Genomic DNA, 23,473 nt, shown 5'->3' on the forward strand with positions numbered 1-23,473 from the left:
GGTGAAAGTAAACAAACAAAAAAGTATCTGAAACACTGAAATGGAAACATACTGAATATAACATGTAGAAAATATTAGAAAAAGAAATGTATTAATTTTTGGTTAGAAAATATTGTCCTTCTTTGAAAGTTCTCTTGAAATAAGACAATCAGCCTAAACCTCCAATATTTTTCCCTCATTCTAATAGATTCAGCTCCTATAGCAAGTCCAGGTAAATACAAACATATAATCCTAAAAATGAAAATAATTTGAATCTAGTGTCCATAACAAACATACTGTAAGAAAAAGATTAAAAATGAGAATGAATTCAGTAGTTGTAAACAATGTACTAGGTCTAAATTGTCTAATATAAACTTTGCTTTCTTTGTTTTCTAATGTGAAAGAAACAATACTTAAGGAGGTCTTTAGATAATCAATTTCATGAGTTTTATGTTTACATTATACTTTCTATTTTTACTGCATCTTAATGGTATGCCTATATACTAGTTATATTTTCCCTAAAATACTCCATCTATGTATTAACAAATAAAACACTTGTATAGCATATTTTATATCCTAGGGCCCTTTTCTCATTCTATTTTCTGCTTCTTCCCGTGCTTACATGTAATTGAATCATATTACCTTGGCAAACATTTATTTCAGGTTAAAATAAAACGATATTGACAATATAAACTTCAAAATAATTCTAATACTGTTATTTCCTCACTGCTCTTGTTTTCATTATACACCTCTCTAACATTTAATGATTAAAAATAATAATTTCCAAAGGATGCCTAATTAAAATTATTCAACATAACCTCAGTGTGCATTCATCACTACCATCTCTCTAGAGACATTTTAACTCTGTTTTACTGCAATAGTCTTCTGTGAATATTTTGAAGGAGAAAGAAAAAAGCTGCTATAAACAGCCTGTGTTGGAGAGAATACTTTAAAAAAACAAGTTTTCCTGCGGGAAGGTGAAGACAGGAAAAAAAATAATAACAACAGATCTTTTTTTTCACAAGAGTTACTGAGAGTCACTTAAAATATTACATTGGAAAGTTTTCCTAGTATCCAGGGTCAAGACATTGTTATTGTCATGGAAATTTTGGGGAGTAAAAAGAGATACTGAATGCCTAGCCTTTGGAGAGTCCTTTTACGTTTCAAGGATGTTCCATCTCAACCGTTTTCATTCATATGCCATGCAGCTCATCTTTTCCACTGGTGCTGTTTTTGGATTCTTTCTTGTGATTTGAACCCTCTCCTTCTGATGATCTAAGAACTTCACTTAATTGACAAGTAAAATATACAACTTCATCATCTCTGTTTACCAATTTCCCTGTAAGTATTGTCCTGATTCTAACAAGGATCCACATTTCTTTCCTTCCCTCCTTCCCTCCTTCCCTCCTTCCCTCTCCCTCCCTCCCTCCTTCCCTCCTTCCTTCCTTCCTTCCTCTTTTTGTTTTTGAGAGTCTCATTGATTGACACTCCAGGAAAGCTTGATCTTTCCTGGAGTGTCAGCAGAGTCTGCATCTGGTTTGGTCTGAAGCCCTCTGCTGTAACCAGATGCAAACTGCCCATTTTGCTACTGCCCTTTCCCACTTCCATGGCCTCTACCTTTACTACTAACAACAAACTAGTACCAGAGACACTGTTACTCAGTGAGTTTCAGACTTTCAGATTTTTGCCACTGATTGAGACACCCAGATTTTTCACTGTATTGTCAGCCCTTTCCTGGATCTCCAGCTGCAGGACCTTTTGGATACTTTACCGTAGTCTGGTTGTAGCACCTCTTAACAGCAACTGGGACTATGTCACCTATCGGGGCCTCTCCCACTTCTGGAAGAGAAAGCAGAATTTTCAGCTGGACTTGTTCCTACGTTGTGTTCCATCCCACTGTACATAACCGGGTTCATCTTTCCAAATTCCATCTCCTCATTATATAAGTATGTTATTATGTAAGAAAATTCAAGACAGAAACAAGTTGTGAAGCTTATGAAACGTTCCCAAAGTAAAGCATCAAACACTGATGCCAGTTAAAGTAAAGCCACATAACATTTGGGTTTTAGCAGTTAAACTGCTACCACGTGGAATTATATTATTGTAAGTGTATTTTCAATTACTTTCCTCATTTTTTGCATTTTTCTAATTAATTTATAACTGAGATGACTTAACTTTGGCTGTTAGAATATCTTCTATAGAATATTATTTAATTCAGAAAGAAAAAACTTTGGAAAGTTTTCAAAACTTTGAAAAATTCTGTTTGTATTTTAGGATTATAGAAATATTAGTTTGATGATCCTGATTTATTTATAAATTATTGATTCTCTAGACAAGACTGAAATTAAATATCTTGAAATATTATGGAAAATAACTTCTAAAAATGCTTCAAAATGTTTTATTTTCAGACAATCAGGACATGTGATCTTTGGTATAGCATCTTAATAACCGTAAAAGAATATTTTACATTTTAATGTTTTTTATGTTTCTAGTTTTCACGTACATACGATCAAATTTTTTTTTCTTTTTGAGATGGAGTCTTGCTGTGTCACCCAGGCTGAAGTGCAGTGGTGCAATCTTGGTTAACTGCAACCTCCGTCTCCTGGGTTCAAGCAATTCTCCTGCCTCAGCCTCCTGAGTAGCTGGGATTACAGGCACCTACCATCACGCCTGGCTAATTTTTATATTTTTACTAGAAACAGGGCTTCGCCATGTTGACCAGGCTGGTCTCGAACTCCTGGCTTCAAGTGATCTGTCTGCCTCAGCCTTCCATAGTGCTGAGATTACAGGTGTGAGCCACCGTACCTGGCCAATCAATTTTTTAAGAGAAAGTAAAACACATTTGGTAAGCACATTTTTCTTATACAGATGTATTTATTAAACCTATCAGGTAACACACTCAATTTTTTTTTATTATTATTATACTTTAAGTTTTAGGGTACATGTGCATAATGTGCAGGTTAGTTACATATGTATACATGTGCCATGCTGGTGTGCTGCACCCATTAACTCATCATTTAGCATTAGGTATATCTCCTAATGCTATCCCTCCCCCCTCCCCCCACCCCACAACAGTCCCCAGAGTGTGACGTTCCCCTTCCTGTGTCCATGTGTTCTCATTGTTCAATTCCCACCTATGAGTGAGAACATGCGGTGTTTGGTTTTTTGTCCTTGTGATAGTTTGCTGAGAATGATGATTTCCAATTTCATCCATGTCCCTACAAAGGACATGAACTCATCATTTTTTATGGCTGCATAGTATTCCATGGTGTATATGTGCCACATTTTCTTAATCCAGTCTATCATTGTTGGACATTTGGGTTGGTTCCAAGTCTTTGCTATTGTGAATAGTGCCACAATAAACATATGTGTGCATGTGTCTTTATAGCAGCATGATTTATAGTCCTTTGGGTATATACCCAGTAATGGGTTGGCTGGGTCAAATGGTATTTCTAGTTCTAGATTCCTGAGGAATCGCCACACTGACTTCCACAATGGTTGAACTAGTTTACAGTCCCACCAACAGTGTAAAAGTCTTCCTATTTCTCCACATCCTCTCCAGCGCCTGTTGTTTCCTGACTTTTTAATGATTGCCATTCTAACTGGTGTGAGATGGTATCTGATTGAACACACTCAATATTAAATAGCTGGTGACCAACAAGGCAAGTACCAGACATAGATTTTTTTTGTCATGGTTAATATATATTTTTATAATTCAGTATAACTTGGTTGGCTGATTTTTCTTTTGGTTTATTATAGGCCTTATATGTTTCCTAACCCAGCAGATGTGATAAAATGTAACCCAAACTCACTAAACCATTGTTTCTTGTTTTCCTTTATAGACTTGGTAGCAGTCAACAATAAGAAATGAAAAATTATGCTTCTGTGAAACAGTTCATTCTTCTGGGATTAACAGATGACCCAAAGCTAAATGTTTTGATTTTTATATTTCTATTTTTTACATATATACTGAGTATAACTGGGAACCTGACAATTATTACTCTCACTTTGATAGATGTGCACCTCAAAACACCCATGTACTTTTTCCTTAGGAATTTCTCTTTTCTAGAAATCTCATTCACAACAGTTTGTATTCCTAGGTTTCTGGTCAGCATCGTAACAGGGGATAAGACCATTTCTTATAATTCTTGCATGGCCCAGGTATTTTTCTTTATACTCCTTGGTTCAACAGAATTTTTCCTTTTGACTGCTATGTCCTATGATTGTTATGTTGCTATCTGTAAGCCACTGCACTACACAACAATAATGAACAGCAGAGTCTGCATCCAGCTTGTAATTAGCTCTTGGCTAGCTGGATTTCTCATTATCTTTCCACCTGTAATTATGGGGCTTCAACTGGATTTCTGTGACTCCAACATCATTGATCACTTTACCTGTGATTCCTCTCCTATGCTACTGATCTCCTGCACAGACACAGCGTTTCTAGAGTTCATGGGATTTTTCCTGGCCATATTCACTCTCATGGTAACCTTAACATTAGTGATTCTTTCCTATGTATTCATCCTTAAGACAATCCTGAGAATTCCTTCTGCTGAACAAAGGAAAAAGGCCTTTTCCACTTGTTCTTCACACATGATTGTTGTCTCCATTTCTTATGGAAGCTGCATTTTCATGTATGTCAAAACATCAGCAAAAGAAGGAGTGGCTTTGACCAAGGGTATAGCAGTGCTCAATACCTCTGTAGCCCCAGTGTTAAATCCTTTTACTTACTCCCTAAGGAACCAGTAGGTAAAACAGTCTTTTCAGAACTTGATCAAAAAATGTTTTTCAAATAAATTTTAGTCACAAAGAAATGTATAGCCTGAACTTGAAATGGAAACTTATCTGTAGCATAATACTGACATCGTTCTATATCTCCATCCAATACCATTAATATATTCAACTATTTTTCCTTCAGGATTTATTCTTCTATCCCATTTTGACCTCACTTGGCTTCATAACCCATTTATATTTACATGCTGTGAACATTTAGGTGTTGTTTTATTTGTTTTTTTGTTTGTTTGTTTTTTGTTGTTTGTTTTTTGAGATGGAGTCTCACACTATTGCATGGGCTGGAGTGCAATGGTGCCAACTCGGCTCACTGCAACCTCTGCCTCTTGGGTTCAAGTGATTCTCCTGCCTCAGCCTCCTGAGGAGCTGGGATTACAGGCTCCTGCCACCACGCCCAGCTAATTTTTTGTATTTTTAGTGGAGACAGGGTTTCACTATGTTGGCCAGGCTGCAGAATTTAGCTTTAAACAATCATTGAAAGACTTTCCCTTTGATCCTAAGAAAAAAATTTTTTTAAAAAGTTACCATCAAGCAATTCTGAAAAATTATTTATCCCAGTGCATTAGCACAATGTACTAAAATAAATTCTTCTGTGAGATGAAGTCTCCTACCTCTAGTATATTTATATTTCTCCTTTTATCTCCCTTGGTTTTTGCATTGTAAATAGTATATTTATATTTCTCCTTTTATCTCCCTTGGTTTTTGCATTGTAAATGTTTACATATGCTATTTGGTACATTGGCATTCTATATCTTCAATGTGAATTCCATTATTTAATAGTATAAAATATCTTGCTTAATGTCTTTTCTTGGCTCAAATTCCAAAATTACCTCAAGTCCGGTTCTGATATTTCTGTTAGGCCCCAGTACTCTCACCACAAATCACCCTTAATGAACTACACTGATGATAGCCCATTTCTTTCTGTTAATTTGCTGTTGCTGGGTCTGGAGTTTACCTGCAGCTCCTTTGAAAAGAATCTGGCTTGCCTTTCTCTCTTTTGATTTTACTAGCCCTTTAAACCCCTGTGCTTTCTATCTCCCAAGTGGTTCTTAAAATTTCTAGTATACTAATGATACCCTCGATTCTATTTATATGGTTACATTCTTTTAAAAAAGTTTTCATTTTTTTATGGACAATGGAGAGTATGGGATTAAGTATGTTTACACTGCCTGCGCCTTGATATAAACTTTTCCTATAAGAGGTTCTTACTTATACACTTGTAAGAATAAAAATTTGTTTAGTATTTATCAATTTGCTTTTTTCCTGTCTTCTTCCACAAGCAATGCATGAACACATGAAATCATTTAAGTTACTATTGGATCACTTTTCCTTAATATGTATTCAAATTCCTAGTTTTGGGGTTCTCTTTTCTCCCCCATTTAAAAAATGAGTTATTCAAACAAGTATTTGTAGAAAAAAGGTTACACGTAATCAAAAGCAGGTGAATGAAAACTAACACATTCAATCTGAGAGACAGTATGAATGTCTAAATGTCTAAAATAGCCATATGATATTTGCATCTGTGAATCTGAGCAAAATGATTTACTACATCTGCTTATAGGAAGTGTTTTGTTAAATTGATAATAAGTTTAGTTAGAATTGGTAAGAATACTGGACTCCTTTAGGCATCATAGAGCTAAATATTCCAGCTAATCAAAAATTACGTTTTTATTTCTCTTTGCTTTACAAAACTTTTTATTTTTCTGGTAGTTGCTTAGCAGATTCTATGCAAATCTGAATTTAATTTGCATCTATTGATGTGGATATGGCTCAAGCAATGTGATGCTCAATAAAGGCCAGATCCTTCAGTTCATGTGGGCAGAGAGAAAGGATATGCTGCATAATGTTTAACAACTAGTCCTCCAAAAAATAGAAACCTGATGTAATTATAAATTTTAGTGTCAATTCTATATACCCAGTTGATTTTCATGCAATATTTCATTGACTTTTACCAAACTTATGTTCATAAGCAATTTATTTTTGCAACTCAACCACAGTTTGACAAATGGAATTGTATTTCAATCTGTGAACTCTTTTTCTATAAGTTTAGTCATTAAATCTGAGAATTAATGAGTTTTGAATTATTATATTAATTTTAATTTCTTTAATTACAAGTTTTTATAATTTATGTTAGAATTATGTATGACCTTTTAAAATAACTGCTTGCCGAGAGTCCTAAAAACTAAATGTTATGGGATCTTTAGAGTGTCACTTTTCTGGCTGGAAACCTCTGTGGCTGGTGGCACTTTTGCCTGAGTTCTTGCCCCACGTCCAGGAAGAATGAGGTACGCATACAAGTGGAGGGTGAACAAGATGAAGAGAAGCTTTACTGAGTGACAGAACAGCTCAGAGGAGACCAGCAGCAGGCAGCTCCTCTCTGCAGACAGGTTGTCTCATCCAGAGTTCAGCTCTCAGCAGAGAGGAGGCCCTGAATTGGGTGGCTCCTCTCTGCACTCAGGTTGTCTAGTGGTCTCTGCAGCTCTCAGCAGAGTGAGTAGCTCCTCTCTTCAGCTGGTCCTCTAGTCATCTCCAGCTATCAGCAGAGAGGGTAGTTCCTCACTTCAACCAGTCCTCTGGCCATCCTCTCCATCCTCTGCCTCATTCTGGCTGAGCCCAGGGCTTTTATGGAACCCAGAGGAGAGGAAGTACATGCAGATTGGTCCATGGGCAGCCATCAGCAGCAGAAAAGTCACCACAAGTTCCCACTCCAGTCTGCGGTCTACAGGACTGGCAGCCCAGTGCCCAGCCTTCAGGCCATCCCTGGACTGAAGGTGGGGCCTTACAGGGGCACCACTCCCTTCCTCCCAGGAGCCTGCCTGCCTACAGTAGCTATCCATGGCACCCAGGCTGCTGGCACCAAGGGGCACCTGCAAGCCAGCACCCAGCCACCCTCACCACCCTCTCAGCTTCTCCTCCTGTGCTCCTCTGCACCCAAAGTCCAGAGGGGGCCCAGTCCACTGGGGACTGGCATGTCAGCCGTGCCCCAAGCGTGAGCACACCCGGCCAGACAGTGACAGTGCCTAGGTTGGCCCCAACACCACTCCGAGATCTGAGCGGGCATCGGGAGTGGGGAGAGGACAGCCAGCAGGAGCAGGCACCTCCGAGCCTGCAAAGGCAAAGGGAGCCTTCCCAGGTCAACCAAGAATGCAGGGTTTGCTGGGCCTGCAGCCCGGGTTTGGGCGGCTACAGCCGTGCTGAGGGACCGGGCGCCTGCCTGCTCCATGGAGCCAGAGTCCCAGGTCTACAGCCCGGGATTAGGCGGGCACCCGGGAAGCTCCTGCCCCAACTCGGAATGGACTGGGCTCTCACTTGTCCCGGACTCCCGCCGGCTCCACTGAGCGTGCACCTCCCTGTGGCACCTCCCTGCTGCAGCCGGCTTGAGGACAACAGCTGCTGCCATCATAAGCACTGTGGCATTATCCCGTATACTCAAAATTCAGAATAAAAAGGGCTATATTAGATCATCGACCAAAAAGTGTACCCATTCTACACCTCAATTTATTTTTTGTTCACTATACACATTAAACCAATTTTCCATCTTTCTTTATGTCATGCTACTACTAAATGTACACTTTAAAGTAGTATTTTGATCTGCAAGTAACCATCTTCCTATAATAATAATTTTATAACAACCTCTTTATTAAAGCATACTTAAAATGTTTACTCAAGTTCTTGGCTTTAATCGTGGCTAATTAAATATTATATACTTTGAACTTAAAGTAGCTGTTATACTTTAACAAATTTTTCTTCATATGCCATCTGTATTGTTTAATTATATACCTTTAATAATTTTGTTGTAACTTTATTTTACAACTTTGTCTCCCAAAGAAACATTAAACATCTTAAAATCTTTAAGAAGTGTCTAGCATCCTATGACCATTAAATAATCTTAGTTCTGATTTAATTCAAAATACTTATATGTTTGACGGAGCTCTTGGATTAAATATTGTCTAAATATGTCTCAAAATAACTAGTGTAAAAGGGATATTATGGATGTCTTTTTATATCAAAGCAGAGGATAATAAATTGACATCTGTGGGAAAATTGTTGGCTGGAGATATGAAGAAGGGATTGTGAAATTTAACAAATAATGTAGCCTTCTAACAGTACTCCAGAAGATGTAAAAACTATGCAAGCAGCTAGCTTTATCATTACTGTGTTCATATAACCCAAGAATGAGCTCAATACATAATAAATATTTTAAAAGTTATCTAATAAGCAGTAATGATTTTTATTATAATCATATTTTCTACATTTTCAATCAGTGGGAAAATAAAAAACCTTAAAGACAATCTGGACATTTGATTCAGTGTAATGAGAACCTTGGCCTAAGTCTAGAACATCACAATGAATTTTTGACATTTTCTTTAAGATTAAAGATAAACCTACTTGTTCACAGCATAGTCTGTCATTTAGAGACTGCCAATATCTAGTACTCCACTATTAAGTTTCTTCTCATTGTAAAGTTATAAGATATTTATATATCCGTAAATCTTCCTATATCTTCTGCTTTGTTTTTTGGCCACTATTACCTAAATATTCTATTATAAAATGTGTGCTAATTCAGACTATTGCTTAGCACCCAGTGTCTTCAGAACACTAATCCCCTTTTGTTTATTCATTCAATAAATCCCAAGGTAGTAATACTATTATTCAAGCCAGCCATTATTCTGTTTCCTCCATTCAGAGGAATATTAATAGGAACGTTGATAGAATAAGTTAGCCATTATTGTTTCCTCCATTTAGAGGAATATTAATAGGAATATAAGCAAGCCATTATTCTGTTTCCTCCATTTAGAGGAAACAGAGCTTGAATAATAAGCCTTGCAGGCTATCCTCCATCTAGAGGAAACAGAATAATGGCTAGCTTGAATAATTACCACCCCCAAAATATGATCTTGCATATCAGGCTTGGGGAGATGTTACCTTCACCTCTACTTCAACTATAATTTATTTCATTTTAAATGCCAGGATAATACTTCCTTAAGTAGAAATAGGTAGAGTATCCAATGACTTCAGACCTTTAGAGAAATTTGACTGGATGTACAGAAATGGATAAATATATACCCTTCTTGTGAACGTAGTAGAGGTACTCCTGGGATTTTTATTTTCTACCCATATGTTGAATATTTGGTTACAAATACAAGGAAAAAGAAGCAGAACAATATGCAGAGGTTTTTTGAAAAATCTTGATGCTTTAATTTAAGTAAATTTAAAAAGCAACTAGAAATGACATTTTGACTAATCCAGTCATGTTTACCTTAAAAGTGTGTATTCTTAATTGTTATTTCAGGAATATAATTTTTCTGCTTAATAGTATATGCTTACGCTTTATACAAGTAATTTCAATTATGTACTATATTAAGTATTAGCACATTTAAACCACACAATTACGACATTTCATAATATCAAAATATGTAAATAGCAGGGAAATTTAAAAACCATTGCATTCCTATAGTTTGAAGCAACAAGTTTCAAGTTTCTTCCTTATAGCATGGGTTGCGACTCATGGTAGTGAATGACATTTTGTGTTCTTGTAGAGATATCCTATGCAATTGCTTGCAATATAATCAATATCAGAAAAACATATAATTATTTTTGCACAAGATTCAAAAGAATTTGATGCATTTTAACACAGTAGATATACCTTATGTATTTAGTTTTACACAGTGTGAATTTTACATGTAATGAAGGTCAGTATCCATAATATAAAGGCAAAAGACCAAAAGAAACTGCAACTCTGGGTTCACAAAGAACATGGATAATAAGAAGGGCAAATATCTCCCTCTTAGGAATCTTGTAGGTAAAAATTGGTGGTAAATATATTCACATAATAAATTATCTAATCCTGAGAAAATATTCCATTTGAAAGTGCTAAATCTCTGAAGAATACTGGAACCAGATGAGACTTTACAAACTCAGAAAAGCTGTCTGGACCTTTAAGTACTTTAAAAAATTGTGCTAAGTGGCAGCACATTTAAGCTTTTGTGGAAAATAACTAAACTTGAACAAAGAAGTAAAGCATCATAACATCAAGGATGATATCAGAAGAAAAAAAGTGAAGGAAAAACAATCTTGCCTCATCTAAAATGTATCCTGAGTATCGAACTAATTTATCACCACTGGAGAAAAGAATACACAGTAATGTGAAGACATGCTACATTGGTCTAGAAATAGGATTAATAAAACACTTGCAGCTTACTAAAATACAGTTAGAATTAAATAAAAGTACTACTTTACATAATGAACAGCAGCTTTATGACAGGTAGCTGGTAAATAAAAACATATTCAAGAAGAGTACATTTTACAATCTTACAGGAGATTATCATAGATGATTAACTTAACTAGAATGTCTTTCATTACAACATTACAATTAGAGTAAAAACCACTTCCGGACATTAAATATCTCTGCAAACCATTATTAGGGACAGACTACTCTACCAGACTAATGAGTGTGCTGACTTTTTTAACTCTAAAATTTTAAATAGGGAAGGTGAAATGCATGCTTATTCAAAAGTTTTCAAAAATTAAAAATATCAAGGGAAAGCAAAATAAAATATTAAAAGGTATTGAAATGAGTATCAAAGTATTGAAAAATGCTGGTAAATGAACTCTCAGAATGTTATTTGAAAAGTTTCAATCTAAGAGGTTTAATTTTATTTTCAGGAAGTATGTTGAACATTCAGAAGAGAGATATTTGTATTGTAATATATGAGAATGTAATGAAAGAAATATACAAGTAATGAATTAATATGTGACATAATAAATAACAAAATTGTTAAAAAATATTGTGGGTCTATGTACCACAAAATCATTTTATTGTAAAAGAAAAGATAACAATGATGTTCTTAAAATGTGTGTTTGTGTGCGTGTGTGTTTAAGTTTCTTTACTGGTGTTATAGCTTTCTTATTTCTTCATTTATTTTATAGCTAAAATAAAGAGTAACATAATAAAGAAAGAAAGAAATAAGTAATAAGAAATTGCAAGGCAGTAATAGAATTTATTCTTCTTGGATTGACAAGTGACCCACAGTGGCAGGTTGTGCTTTTCATATTTCTTGCTACCTACATGCTAAGTGGGACTGGGAATCTGATCTTTATCACTCTCTCACCCTTTCAGATCCCCATCTGCAGACTCCCATGCATTTCTTCCTTCAGAACTTCTCATTTCTGGAAATATCATTCATGTCTGTCTGCATTCCCAGATTCCTTGTCACCATCGTGACTGGAGACATAACCATTTCTATAATGGTTGTGTGTCTCAGCTATTTTTTTCATCTTGGGGGTGACCAAATTTTACCTTCTGGCTGCTATGTCCTTTGACTGCTACATGATTCTAAAGAGTTTTCTATAAATGAAGAGATAAATTATTTATATGTTAGTTTTCCTTTATTGCCAAACCTGTGATACTGCCTTCATCTTTTCATTGTCTCTTTCACAGTTTCAACATCTTCCCCAACCCAAGCAAATGACTTTTGGAGGCCTTTGAGAACTGCCAAAAAACGAGTTCAGGCTTATTATCTTTAGTTATTGAGTCCCTCAAAATCAATGTGTCATTAATAAAATTAATTATCAGGACTCAGTAGCTGTGACTCTGACTAGGTATAAGGTATTTGGATTTGATATTGGCACCTTGATTTTCAGCCTGATCTGATTATCTTGATTAATGTAAATGACTGTAGAAAATCTAATTCCCTGGCAAATAGTTTTCATTATTGTTCAAAGAAGAGGCTGTCTTTAACAATCACGTACTTCTTACCATTGTGTTTTCATGGAATGACTCACATGTTTTTTCAAATTCTAACATAATACCAACAGAAAACTAAAATTATGATTACTTTGTTTACAAGTTCCTTATTATAACACACAATTTACAAAGAAAATGAAACAATGCAAGTCTTTTTGTAAGATTATAATACATATGTATTATATATGATATATACCATATATACACATATGTATATAGGTATTATATATGATATATACGTTCTATATTCATATATTTATATATCATTATATATGTATATGTCCACATATGTCTATATGTATGTATAATGTATATATCATACATAATAGTTATAGATATCTATAGATAGATATAGATACTAATAGATATCAGGCAAATAACAGAGTTAGGAAAACTCTATCCTCTTAGTCAAAATTTACCTGATGAAGTTCATTATAATAGTTAATACGTGGAAATAAATGAAAATCAGTATAAATCTTTCCAGAGCAAAACTTTTAGAAAATGTATTCATTTCCAAGTGCTACTAAAGCAAAGTACTAGAAATCGGCTGGCTTTAGACATTTTATTTTAATGTGTTTCATGGTATATTTCCTTGAATTTATTCTACCTGGAATTCATTAAGCTTCTTGGGTATGTAGATTCACATCTTTCCTCAAATTTGGAAAGTTTAAAAATTATTTCTTCAAATACTCTTTTTGACCCTTTCTCTCTTTCTCTTTTACTTCTGGGTCTTCCATAATGCAAATTTTAGTACACTTGATGGTGTTCCAGAAGTCTCATTGGCTCTGTTCATTTTTCATTATTCTTTTTTAAACACACAAAACATGCCTTTCTATTTCTTTTAGAGAAAAAGCTTTTTGGAAAGCCTGTATCACTGAGCAAAGTCAGAGAAAATATGAAACAGTTGACATTTAAATGCAAAAAAAAAATTTCAAAATATGCCAACTGCATTTTCTCATACTCACCAAGAGTGGCTTTTGGGTTGAGAAATAGATGGTTTAATAACAAAGGGGAATCTGGAAAAAATCTTCAAAATTTTAATAATTTAGCAGCTGTACAAAAATGAATTAGTTTGATAAAAGGTGTAAAACTGATCCTTTTCTAGCTAAAACATTAGGTTTCTCTTATAGATAATGAGAAAACTAATTAGATTTAAACTATTACTTGAATCTATCAAGGACTAACATAAGTGAGTATATTTCTTCTTTTTTTCATGTTGTTAATTTATCTTCCTAAATCATAGAACTCTTGACAGCTACTCTTTTTGAAATGTACCATGAAGGCATTTTGTCAATTCTTTTTTTTTTTTTTTTTTGGTTTTTATTATCAATGCTTGTATTGTTTTCTCTCTCTGAGTCTTTTTGTTTTTTGGTGTGCATTACATTTACATAAACTTACTGAAATTGACACCATCATCATTACTTCCTTTTCTGAGAGCACCGTTATTTAGCATGGATGTTTTCTTAATCCTGAGGAGTCATATCCTGTATCTTTTGCATGTTATCTGGTATACTTGCTCTAATCAAAGATGATGAAAAAAATGTCCTAGAACAATCTTAGCAGATAAATTGAGAAATTGCCTGAGCATATTTTGTGATGTTAACATGTGGCCAGCCAGGTAGCTAGCTGCTTGATCAAGAGCATCACTAGCATCCTAGCCCCTCTGTTTGAAGGAACTCCTTATATTTTGTGCAGGGAATCACAGGGTCCCCACAGCATGATTTTCAACTGGTCACCAGATATCCTTGAAGCATCAAATATGCCCATTTGAATTTGAAATTTAAAGACGATCCCATCAAGACCATGAAAATAACTTTGTGTTGTATGACAGAAAAGTACCTCACAATATTCAATAGCCAAGTACCTAGCCAGGAACCTTTGACACCAAATTTTACATGAAATTGTCTATAAAAATGAGAGAGATGTCACAAGAGAACAAAACTTCATGGATGCAGTTTAAACTTCAACGTAGATCTCCGAGTCTTTTTAAATTTGTCACAGCTTAGTTCAGAAGCATACAAATACCTGCTTCAGGAAGGAGTTAGACAGCATTTTCTTAGATAAACCTCAGCTGGTATGACTTATTGCAGGGATGCCAGACCCAGGATGCATGACCCCATTTCAATGTCATCTTTACCCTTCCTAATATCTCACACTTTGACTCTGTTCATTAAATCAGATTACTCTCATGGGTCACTCAAAATTTGTCAAGATGGTTTCTCTGTTTCTAGTACTGGTAGCAACAGATCATGCTGAGCAATTCATATTCGGGATGTTGATTATGTACTTCACTAAAATTCCTGTTTTGTTGGCATAGACCACTACAGGTACCTGTATCAATCAAAATGGACTAATTCAGAATAATTGATGCATGCATGCAGAGTTTGGCCCATAGAACTAAAACAAACACTGGATTGATTGACTATATTTAAAAAGTCCGATTGGAACTTTTATACTGTGATCTTGTTCATTAATAAAGGTCGGCATTGTGTTTATGTCAACTTCAATCAGAAAGGAGCTAAGAGGATCAGTTTTGCCTACAGCAAGAGGAGATGGAGTTCAATTAATTTCCCATAAATATAGTATTTTCTGTGTTTTTGTTTGTTTTTGCTATGAAAAGAAATCAAGGCTCATTTTTAAAATTGAAATAACTCAAAATCTTTTCTTTTCTTTTTTTTTTTTTGTTTTTCTGTTTTTCGTTTTTTTGAGATGGAGTCTTGCTCTATTGCCCAGGCTGGAGTGCAATGGTGTGATCTGGGCTCACTGTAAGCTCCGCCTCCTGAGTTCACACCATTCTCCTGCCTCAGCCTCCGGAGTAGCTGGGATTACAGGCACACACCACCACGCCCGGCTAATTTTTCTTTTTTAGTAGAGACGGAGTTTCACTATGTTGGTCAGGCTGGTCTCGAACTCCTGACCTCGTGATCCGCCCACCTCGGCCCCCTAAAGTGCTGGGATTACAGGCGTGAGCCACCGTGCCCGGCCGAAAGTCTGTTTTCTAATGACAATATTAGCATTTGTATTTTATGGCCTTTAAGTTTTCAAAATTACTATGTATTCTGATAACTTGTTCAATATTCCACCAACAGAACAAAGCAAGCAAAATATTTATTATTATTTAACTATAAAAAACCTTTCTGTACATTAAGTAATCAAAACTATACAGCAGAGAATTATCAAAGATAAAACTTAAATGTTTTTTAAAGTAATGAAACACAAATTAATCTTTTCACTACTAAATAAATTCTGTCATGAACTTGCAATTCTAATGGATATTCTGCCACTTCTTGTTGAATGGGTCTTAAAGTTCTTGATGCAGAATAAGAGCAATCCTAGTGTATTTGAAATCAAATCACGTATTGACATTCACTCTTCTTTTTATCTACAGACCTATCAGAATTCAGAACTAAGCCATGCCAAATATGACATCAATTAGAGAATTCATTCTTCTGGGATTTACAGATAACCCAGAGTTACAAGTTGTGATATTCTTCTTTATGTTGATCACATACTTATTGAGTGTAAGTGGAAACATGATCATCATTATGTTAACATTGTCAAATATTCATTTGAAAACTCCTATGTATTTCTTCCTCAGGAATTTCTCTTTCTTAGAAATTTCATTTACGACAGTCTTCATTCCTAGATTTCTGATCAACATTGCTACAGGAGACACAACCATTTCCTATAATGCTTCCATGGCCCAAGTATTTTTTTTAATTCTTTTGGGATCAACAGAATTTTTTCTTCTGGCTGTCATGTCTTATGATCGCTATGTGGCTATCTGCAAACCTCTACATTATACAACCATCATGAGTAACAAAGTCTGTAATTGGCTTGTAATCAGCTCCTGGCTGGCTGGTTTTCTCATTATTTTTCCCCCCGTGATTATGGGCCTCCAACTGGATTTTTGTGACTCCAGCACTATTGACCATTTCATCTGTGATTCTTCCCCTATGCTGCTGATTGCTTGCACAGACACACAGTTTCTAGAGCTTATGGCATTTTTGCTAGCAGTATTCACACTCATGGTAACTTTGGCCTTGGTGGTTCTCTCCTACACACTCATCCTTAAAACAATTCTGAAGATTCCCTCTGCCCAGCAAAGGAAAAAGGCTTTTTCAACTTGTTCCTCCCATATGATTGTGGTTTCTGTTTCTTATGGGAGTTGCATTTTTATGTGTGTAAAAACATCTGCAAAAGAAGGTATGGCTTTGAGCAAAGGTGTAGCAGTGCTTAATACCTCTGTTGCTCCTATGTTGAATCCCTTTATTTATACCTTAAGAAACCAGCAGGTGAAACAGGCCCTTAGGGAATTCACCAAAAAAATATTATCATTGAACAAGCAATAATGATAACTAAATCTGTGGCTGAAACACAAATAAGCCAATAAAAACACAAAGCATCTTTCTACGTAATAGGTATACACAAAGGAACACACATGCAAAGATTCACACCATTGTAGAGCTTACTTCTAGTGATAAAACACACATATGGAACAATCAATATAATAGAAAATTACCTAGTACTTTAGTAAGGAACAAATGCTATTTAAAAAAAATAGAAGAAATATGGTATAGAAAGTAATATGGCAGGTAGAATTCAAATTAAATAGCTTGGTCAAAGATTTCATGGTCATCTTAAAGCTTCTTTTATTTTTTTTCTATATTCACACACGTTTTTCTGTATTCTTTATATATATTTTTTATTATACTTTAAGTTCTAGGGTACATGTGCACAACGTGCAGGTTTGTTCTTAATCTTTTCCTTTTTTTCTGTAATTTTTCCATCTTATCATATCTGTTTTATATTTATCAAGCAGATCAAGATTGTGAGGTGTGACTATTAAATAAATATTGGTCTTTGCTTTAAAAAGATATATAGCAAGCTCTAAATAGCCTATTCCAATCCTACCTGAAAATAAATCATTTTATAAAAAATTAACAGCAACTCACAATTAATGAATGGATTAGCACCTAATTTCAACGTTGAGAAAACTGTGCTTTGTAATCCCGTATTCTATTGAACCTGATATTCAGAATCTGTACATGGAAAAACAGCTGAGAAACAATAATCTTCTGTGAAAATGGGCTATTTCAAGCCATCCAAGTTTTGCCAACTCTGCTTCATCAGAAAGATTTATCTGTGTCTTTCCAGATTTCACATGTTCTGTTAAGCAAAAATGGAAGTGTGAGAGACTGGAGCTGTTGGGGAGAACAATCTCCAATAAAGTGCTGCAAGCAGAGATATTAGAAATGATTGCTTTTACACTAAATGCAGTGACTTTACATTTTGTGATATATTATCATAACAATCCACCATCAAATAGATGAAGGTAGGAGGTCATAAAAATGCAATCCATGAAGTTGCTGAAAATTAATGCAGGTTTGATATACACCCCTTTACCATGCACATAATGATCAGAGAACACAATTTTATTGATGCCCAAATAAATAAGAATAGTTCAAAGACAAATCATACACCTATGCAGTTTCCAAATAGTCAGCATAAATAGTGCACACAATTTAATTAGTAGGAATAAAAATATTTTAAATAAATATGAAATTCAGAGCCTTGAAAATTAAAAATTTAATTTGAGGAAAACCAAATATATATATATTTAATTTTATAAATTAATATAAAATAGGAAGATTAGTACATAAACTAATTACTTATAAATTCTAATCTTATATAAGATATGAGACTAGACCTTAAATTTATAAGGTTATAATTTTTTAATACTAATAAAACCATAAAATTGTGTAATTATGTGATACTAAGGTAATAATGGTACTATGTGCAATTACATAAAGACATTACTTTTAAGGAAAAGTATTAACTAGAAAATATTTATAAAGCAGCAAATAAACTGAATATATATTTTAACTATGAAACAAATTACCAAAAGATACAAAGTTCTAAGAGCTATGCCTCTGAAACATTTCCAAGATTTTAATATTATTTTATTCTAAATTTTAGAAGTATAAAACATTCATTTAAAGTATATATTCTTGTAAATAGTTGTAGACTATAAAATGGTTGAAAAAATATTCACTTAGTAATATACAAAATATCCATAACATATATGCATGTTCCCTGTATAAAATCTTACTGTAGTGGATCAATACTATAAAAAAGATACTAGTATAAGATAAGAAACATAAGGAAATTTGACTAGGAAAATTTGGGATATAATGTATCATTTTGTCTTTTAAATAGGCCCAATGAAAACAATGTATCAGATCTTAAATTATACTACTATTTACCCACAAATCATCAACAAAAAATTTTAAAATCTCTTAGTTGAGACAGATATGAAAATAATTATGTTAAAGCCATAAGGAAAACACATAGTAAATGAGCAATTAAACTTTTACTCAAACATGAAACTAATATAATTTGTATTCCTGACAACAAAATAATAATGTACACCCCCCACTTTGTATTATAGAGACGTTTGTCCTAGATGCATTTAACCAATGCTATAACATACAAAGCTGAAGCAAAATTCATAATATTCAAAATGAGAAGACAGATATAACATTTTTTCGGTATTTTTTACAAATATTCCCCAGAAAAGTTTTAAAATTACTGGAAACTAATCATAAAAAATTGAAGAAGTAAAAAATAAATGGAAAGATATCATGTGTTCATGGATTCAAAAAATTAGTATTGTTAAAATGTCTATACTATCCAGGTGAACTACAGATTCAATGTAATCCCTATCAAAATTCTAATGGCATTTCCATAGAAATAGAAAAAAATCAATCCTATAGTTGATAAAGAACCACAAAATCCCAAATAGCCAAACCAACCATGAGAAAGAAAAAACAAAGATGGAGGCACCACATTTTATGATTTCAAACTATATCACACAGTCATAACAATCAAAACAGTATGGCACTGGAATATAAAACAGACACATAGAACAATGTGACAAATTAGAAAGCAAATTTTTTTTAGAAAAAAAATCACATTTGATCAGGTTCCAAGAATAGAAATGTGGAAAGGATAGTCTCTTTGATAAATGGTATTGAAGAAACTGAATATCCACATGCAAAAGAGTGAAATCGAACCCTTACCTCACACTATATACAAAACTTAATCCAAAATGGCTTAAAGACTTAAATGCAGTACCTAAAACCATAAAATGCCTAGAAGAAAACATAGGGAGAAAGTTTCTTGACATTAGTCTTTGCAATGATTTTTTGGATATGACACCAAAAGCTCAGGCAACAAAGGCAAAATTAAACAAGTGGGACTACACCAAACCAAAAAGTTTCTGTAGTGGAATGAAACAATCAACAAAATAAAAAGAAAATCTCCTATGGGCTGGGAAAAAAAATAATTCTGTTAAAAGGTTAACAATCCAAAATATATAAGTAACAAATATAACTCAATAGAAAAAAAATCCAATTTTAAAAATGGGCAAAAAACCTGAATAAACATTTTTCTTCCAGAGAAGACATACAAATGGGCAAAAGGCATATGAAAACATCCTCAACATCACTAATCATCAGGGAAATGCAAATAAAAATCACAATAAGATATCACCTCGCACCTGTTAGAGTAGGTAGCCTCAGAAAGATAAGAGATTAAGTGTTGGTGAGGGAGTGGAGAAAAGGGAACAGCCATATGTAAATTGGTACAGTCACATGGAAAACAGTTTGTAGGTTTCTCAAAATATTAAAAATAGAATTACCACACAGTTCAATTGTGAGTATATATTTATATATTTATGACTATATATTCATAGGAAATGAAATCAGCATTGAAGAGATATCTACACGCATATGTTCATTGCAGCATTGTTCACCAAGGCAAGATATGAAGATAATCTAAGTGATAAGTGACAGATGAATACATAAAGAAAATGTAATATATATGTATATACATATATGTTTACACACACAACACACACACACATAAAGGGACGTTATTCAGTCATAAAGAAGAAATCCCTGCCATTTGTGAAAGCATGGATGAAATTATGTTAGCAATGCTTTGTCTGAATTCGATAGGTTATGAAATGATGTGTTTTCATTTTTATTTGTGATTTCTCCTTTGACCCGTTGGTTGTTTAAGAGTATGCTGTCTAATTTCTATATATTTGAAATTTTTTCAATTTTTTTCCTCATATGGATTTCAAGTATTATTCCATAGTGATTAGAAAAGATGCTTTGCACAAGTTCAATATTTTCAAACTTACTAATGCTGATGTCATAAAATGGATTAGGAGTTTTTCCTTCTTTTTCTTCTTTTTTTTTGGAAAAGTATGAGAAGGATTGGTTTTTATTCTTTAAATGTTAGCAGAATTCACAGGTGAAGCCAGCAGGTCTCTGATTCTTCTTTGCAGGGAGGTTTTTGATTACAGAGTCAATCTCCTGACTAGTTACCGGTCTGTTCAGATTTTCTATTTCTTCATGATTCAGTCTTGGTGGGTTGTATCGTTCTAGGAATTTGTCCATTCATCTAGGTTATTTAATTTGTTTACACCTATAAATTTATATCTTAGCATTGCTTACACTATATTCATAAGATTTGATATGTTATTGGTTTTTGTTGTTGTTTTTCATTGTTTGTTTTTTTGAGATGGAGTCTCATTCTGTCACCCAGGCTGAAGTGCAGTGGCACAATCTCGGCTCACTGCAACCTCTCCCTCCCGGGTTCAAGCAATTCTCCTGCCTCAGCCTCCTCAGTAGCTGGGACTACAGGTATGCATTACCATGCCTGGTGAATTTTTGTATTTTTAGTAGAGACAGGGTTTTGCCATTTTGGCAAGGCTTGTCACAAACTCCTGACCTCAGGTGAGTTTCCCACCTCAGCCTCCCAAAGTGATAGTTTTTACACTCATTTTTTGCAAAATATTTTCTAATTTCCCTGTGGTTCTTTTTTTGGCCTCTTGGTCATTTAAAAATGTGTTGCTTACTTTCTGTATATTTCTGCAGAAAATTTTTTAGTCATCACTCTGTTATTGATTTTTAATTTTATGCCATTATAGGAAAACTACATTATATATGTATACTTCTTAAAAAAAAAAAACTACCGAGACTATTTTGTGGCCTTACATGTGTTCTATCCTGCAGAATATCCTGTGAACTTTAGAAGAATATATATTCTGATGTTGGGTCAAATATTCTGTATATCTCTGTTCATTCTAGCTTATTGTTTTATTGTTAAAGTCCTCTCTTTCCTTATCTTCTCTCTAGTTGTTATATCCATTATTGAAAGTGGAGAATTGATTTCTACAACTATTACTTTTGAACTGTGTGACCCCCCTCTCAATTTTGTAAATCTTTGCTTCATATATATTGAATGCATTGTTAAGTGAGTAAATGTTTGTAATTTTTCTATCTTCTTCAAGATGAAAACTTTTATTAATATATAATGCACTTTATCTCTTATAATATTGTTACATTTAAATAGTATTTCGTCTAATATTACAGGTAATCCAGTCCCATTTGGTTACTATTTGAATGGAATATCTTTTCCATACATTCACTTTCAACATATTTATATATTTGAATCTAAACAGAGTCTCAGGAAGACAGCACATAGTTGGATCTTTTAAAATCCTTTCTGCAATTATCTCTTTTGATTGGAGAGTTTAATCTGTTTTGAATTTAAAGTAATTATTATAAGAGATGTGCTTCTGCTTCTTGCTATTTTGCCATTTGGTGTTTACATCGCCTATAGTTGGCCCTTCATTTCCACCATCACTGTCTTTTTTTATGTTTAGTTGATTTTTTGTAATGACATTTTCACATTTTATTCCTGTCTGTGTATATTACATAGACATTTTCTTGGTGTTCATCATGGGAATTATATTTAACACTCTAAAATTACTAGAACCGAATTTAAATTTATTCACATTTAACTTTAATACCATAAAAGAGTCTGTTCCTATAAATCTCCCTTTCCCTTTTTGGTAATTGATATCACAGATTTCATTGCTGTGCACTGTGTGCCAAATATCATAGAACAATAGTTTTATGCATTTTATATTAATTCTTTTATAATTAAAATTGGAATTATAAAACAAAATTAAAATAATAGTAACTTTTATAGTTGTCCATGTATTTACCTTTATCAGAGACCTTTATTTCTTCATATGGAGTGCTGTTACTGTCCAGTGTCCTTTCATTTCTACCTGAAGAACTTACTGTAATATTTCTTAAAGGGCAGTTCTAGTAGTAACGAACTTCCCTAGCTTTTATCTGGGAAAAATCTTAATTTCTCCCTAATTTTTGAAGAACAGTTGAGCCAGATATAGGATTTATAATTGTCAATACTTTTTTTCCTTTCCACACTTTGAATATAGTCATGTGTGACTTAATGATGAGGATACATTCTGGGAAATGTGACATTAGGTAATTTTGTCATTGTGCAAACATTATCAAGTATATTTACACAAACTTAGATGATATAGCCTACTACATACCTAGGCTATCTATATGATATAGCCTATTGTTCCTAGGCTACAAACCTGTACAGTATGTTACTGTGCTGAACAGTATGTTACTGTACCGTGGGCAGTCATAACACAATGGTAAGTGTTTGTATACTTAAACATATAAAAGGTAGAGCATTGTGCTACAACATTGCTACAATGTTCACTAGGCAATAGGAATGTCTCAGCTCCATTTTAATCTTATGGGACAGTCATCATTTGTGCAGTCTGCCATTTATCAAAATGTTATCATATGGTGTATGACTGTACATCAACCTACTCCCTATTGCTTTCATGAATTCTAATAAGAAATGGAGTGATAGTCTAATTGAGGATAACTTGTATGTGATGAGTCATTTATCTCTTGCTGCTCTCAAGATTTTCTCATTTTTGGCTTTCAATTGTTTGATTAAAAATATGTCTTGATGTGGGTCTCTTAGAGATTATCCAACTTAGAGTTTATATAGCTTCTTGGATTTGTAGGTTCATGACTTAAATTTAGGAAA

The 23,473-nt window shown here is 33.9% G+C and overlaps 1 protein-coding gene and 2 pseudogenes across 1 annotated transcript; all 3 read left to right on the forward strand.

The window, feature by feature from the left end:
* On the forward strand, positions 3,847-4,779 carry OR6C66P (olfactory receptor family 6 subfamily C member 66 pseudogene; annotated as a pseudogene).
* On the forward strand, positions 11,678-12,675 carry OR6C73P (olfactory receptor family 6 subfamily C member 73 pseudogene; annotated as a pseudogene).
* OR6C65 (olfactory receptor family 6 subfamily C member 65) lies at positions 15,931-16,869 on the forward strand. The gene has a single exon (NM_001005518.1). The coding sequence runs from the start codon at positions 15,931-15,933 to the stop codon at positions 16,867-16,869; it is 939 nt and encodes a 312-aa protein (NP_001005518.1).
* The last annotated feature ends 6,604 nt before the right edge of the window (positions 16,870-23,473 follow it).

This window comes from Homo sapiens, chromosome 12 (genome assembly GCF_000001405.40).
Source record: "Homo sapiens chromosome 12, GRCh38.p14 Primary Assembly".
Classification (NCBI taxonomy): Eukaryota; Metazoa; Chordata; class Mammalia; order Primates; family Hominidae; genus Homo; species Homo sapiens.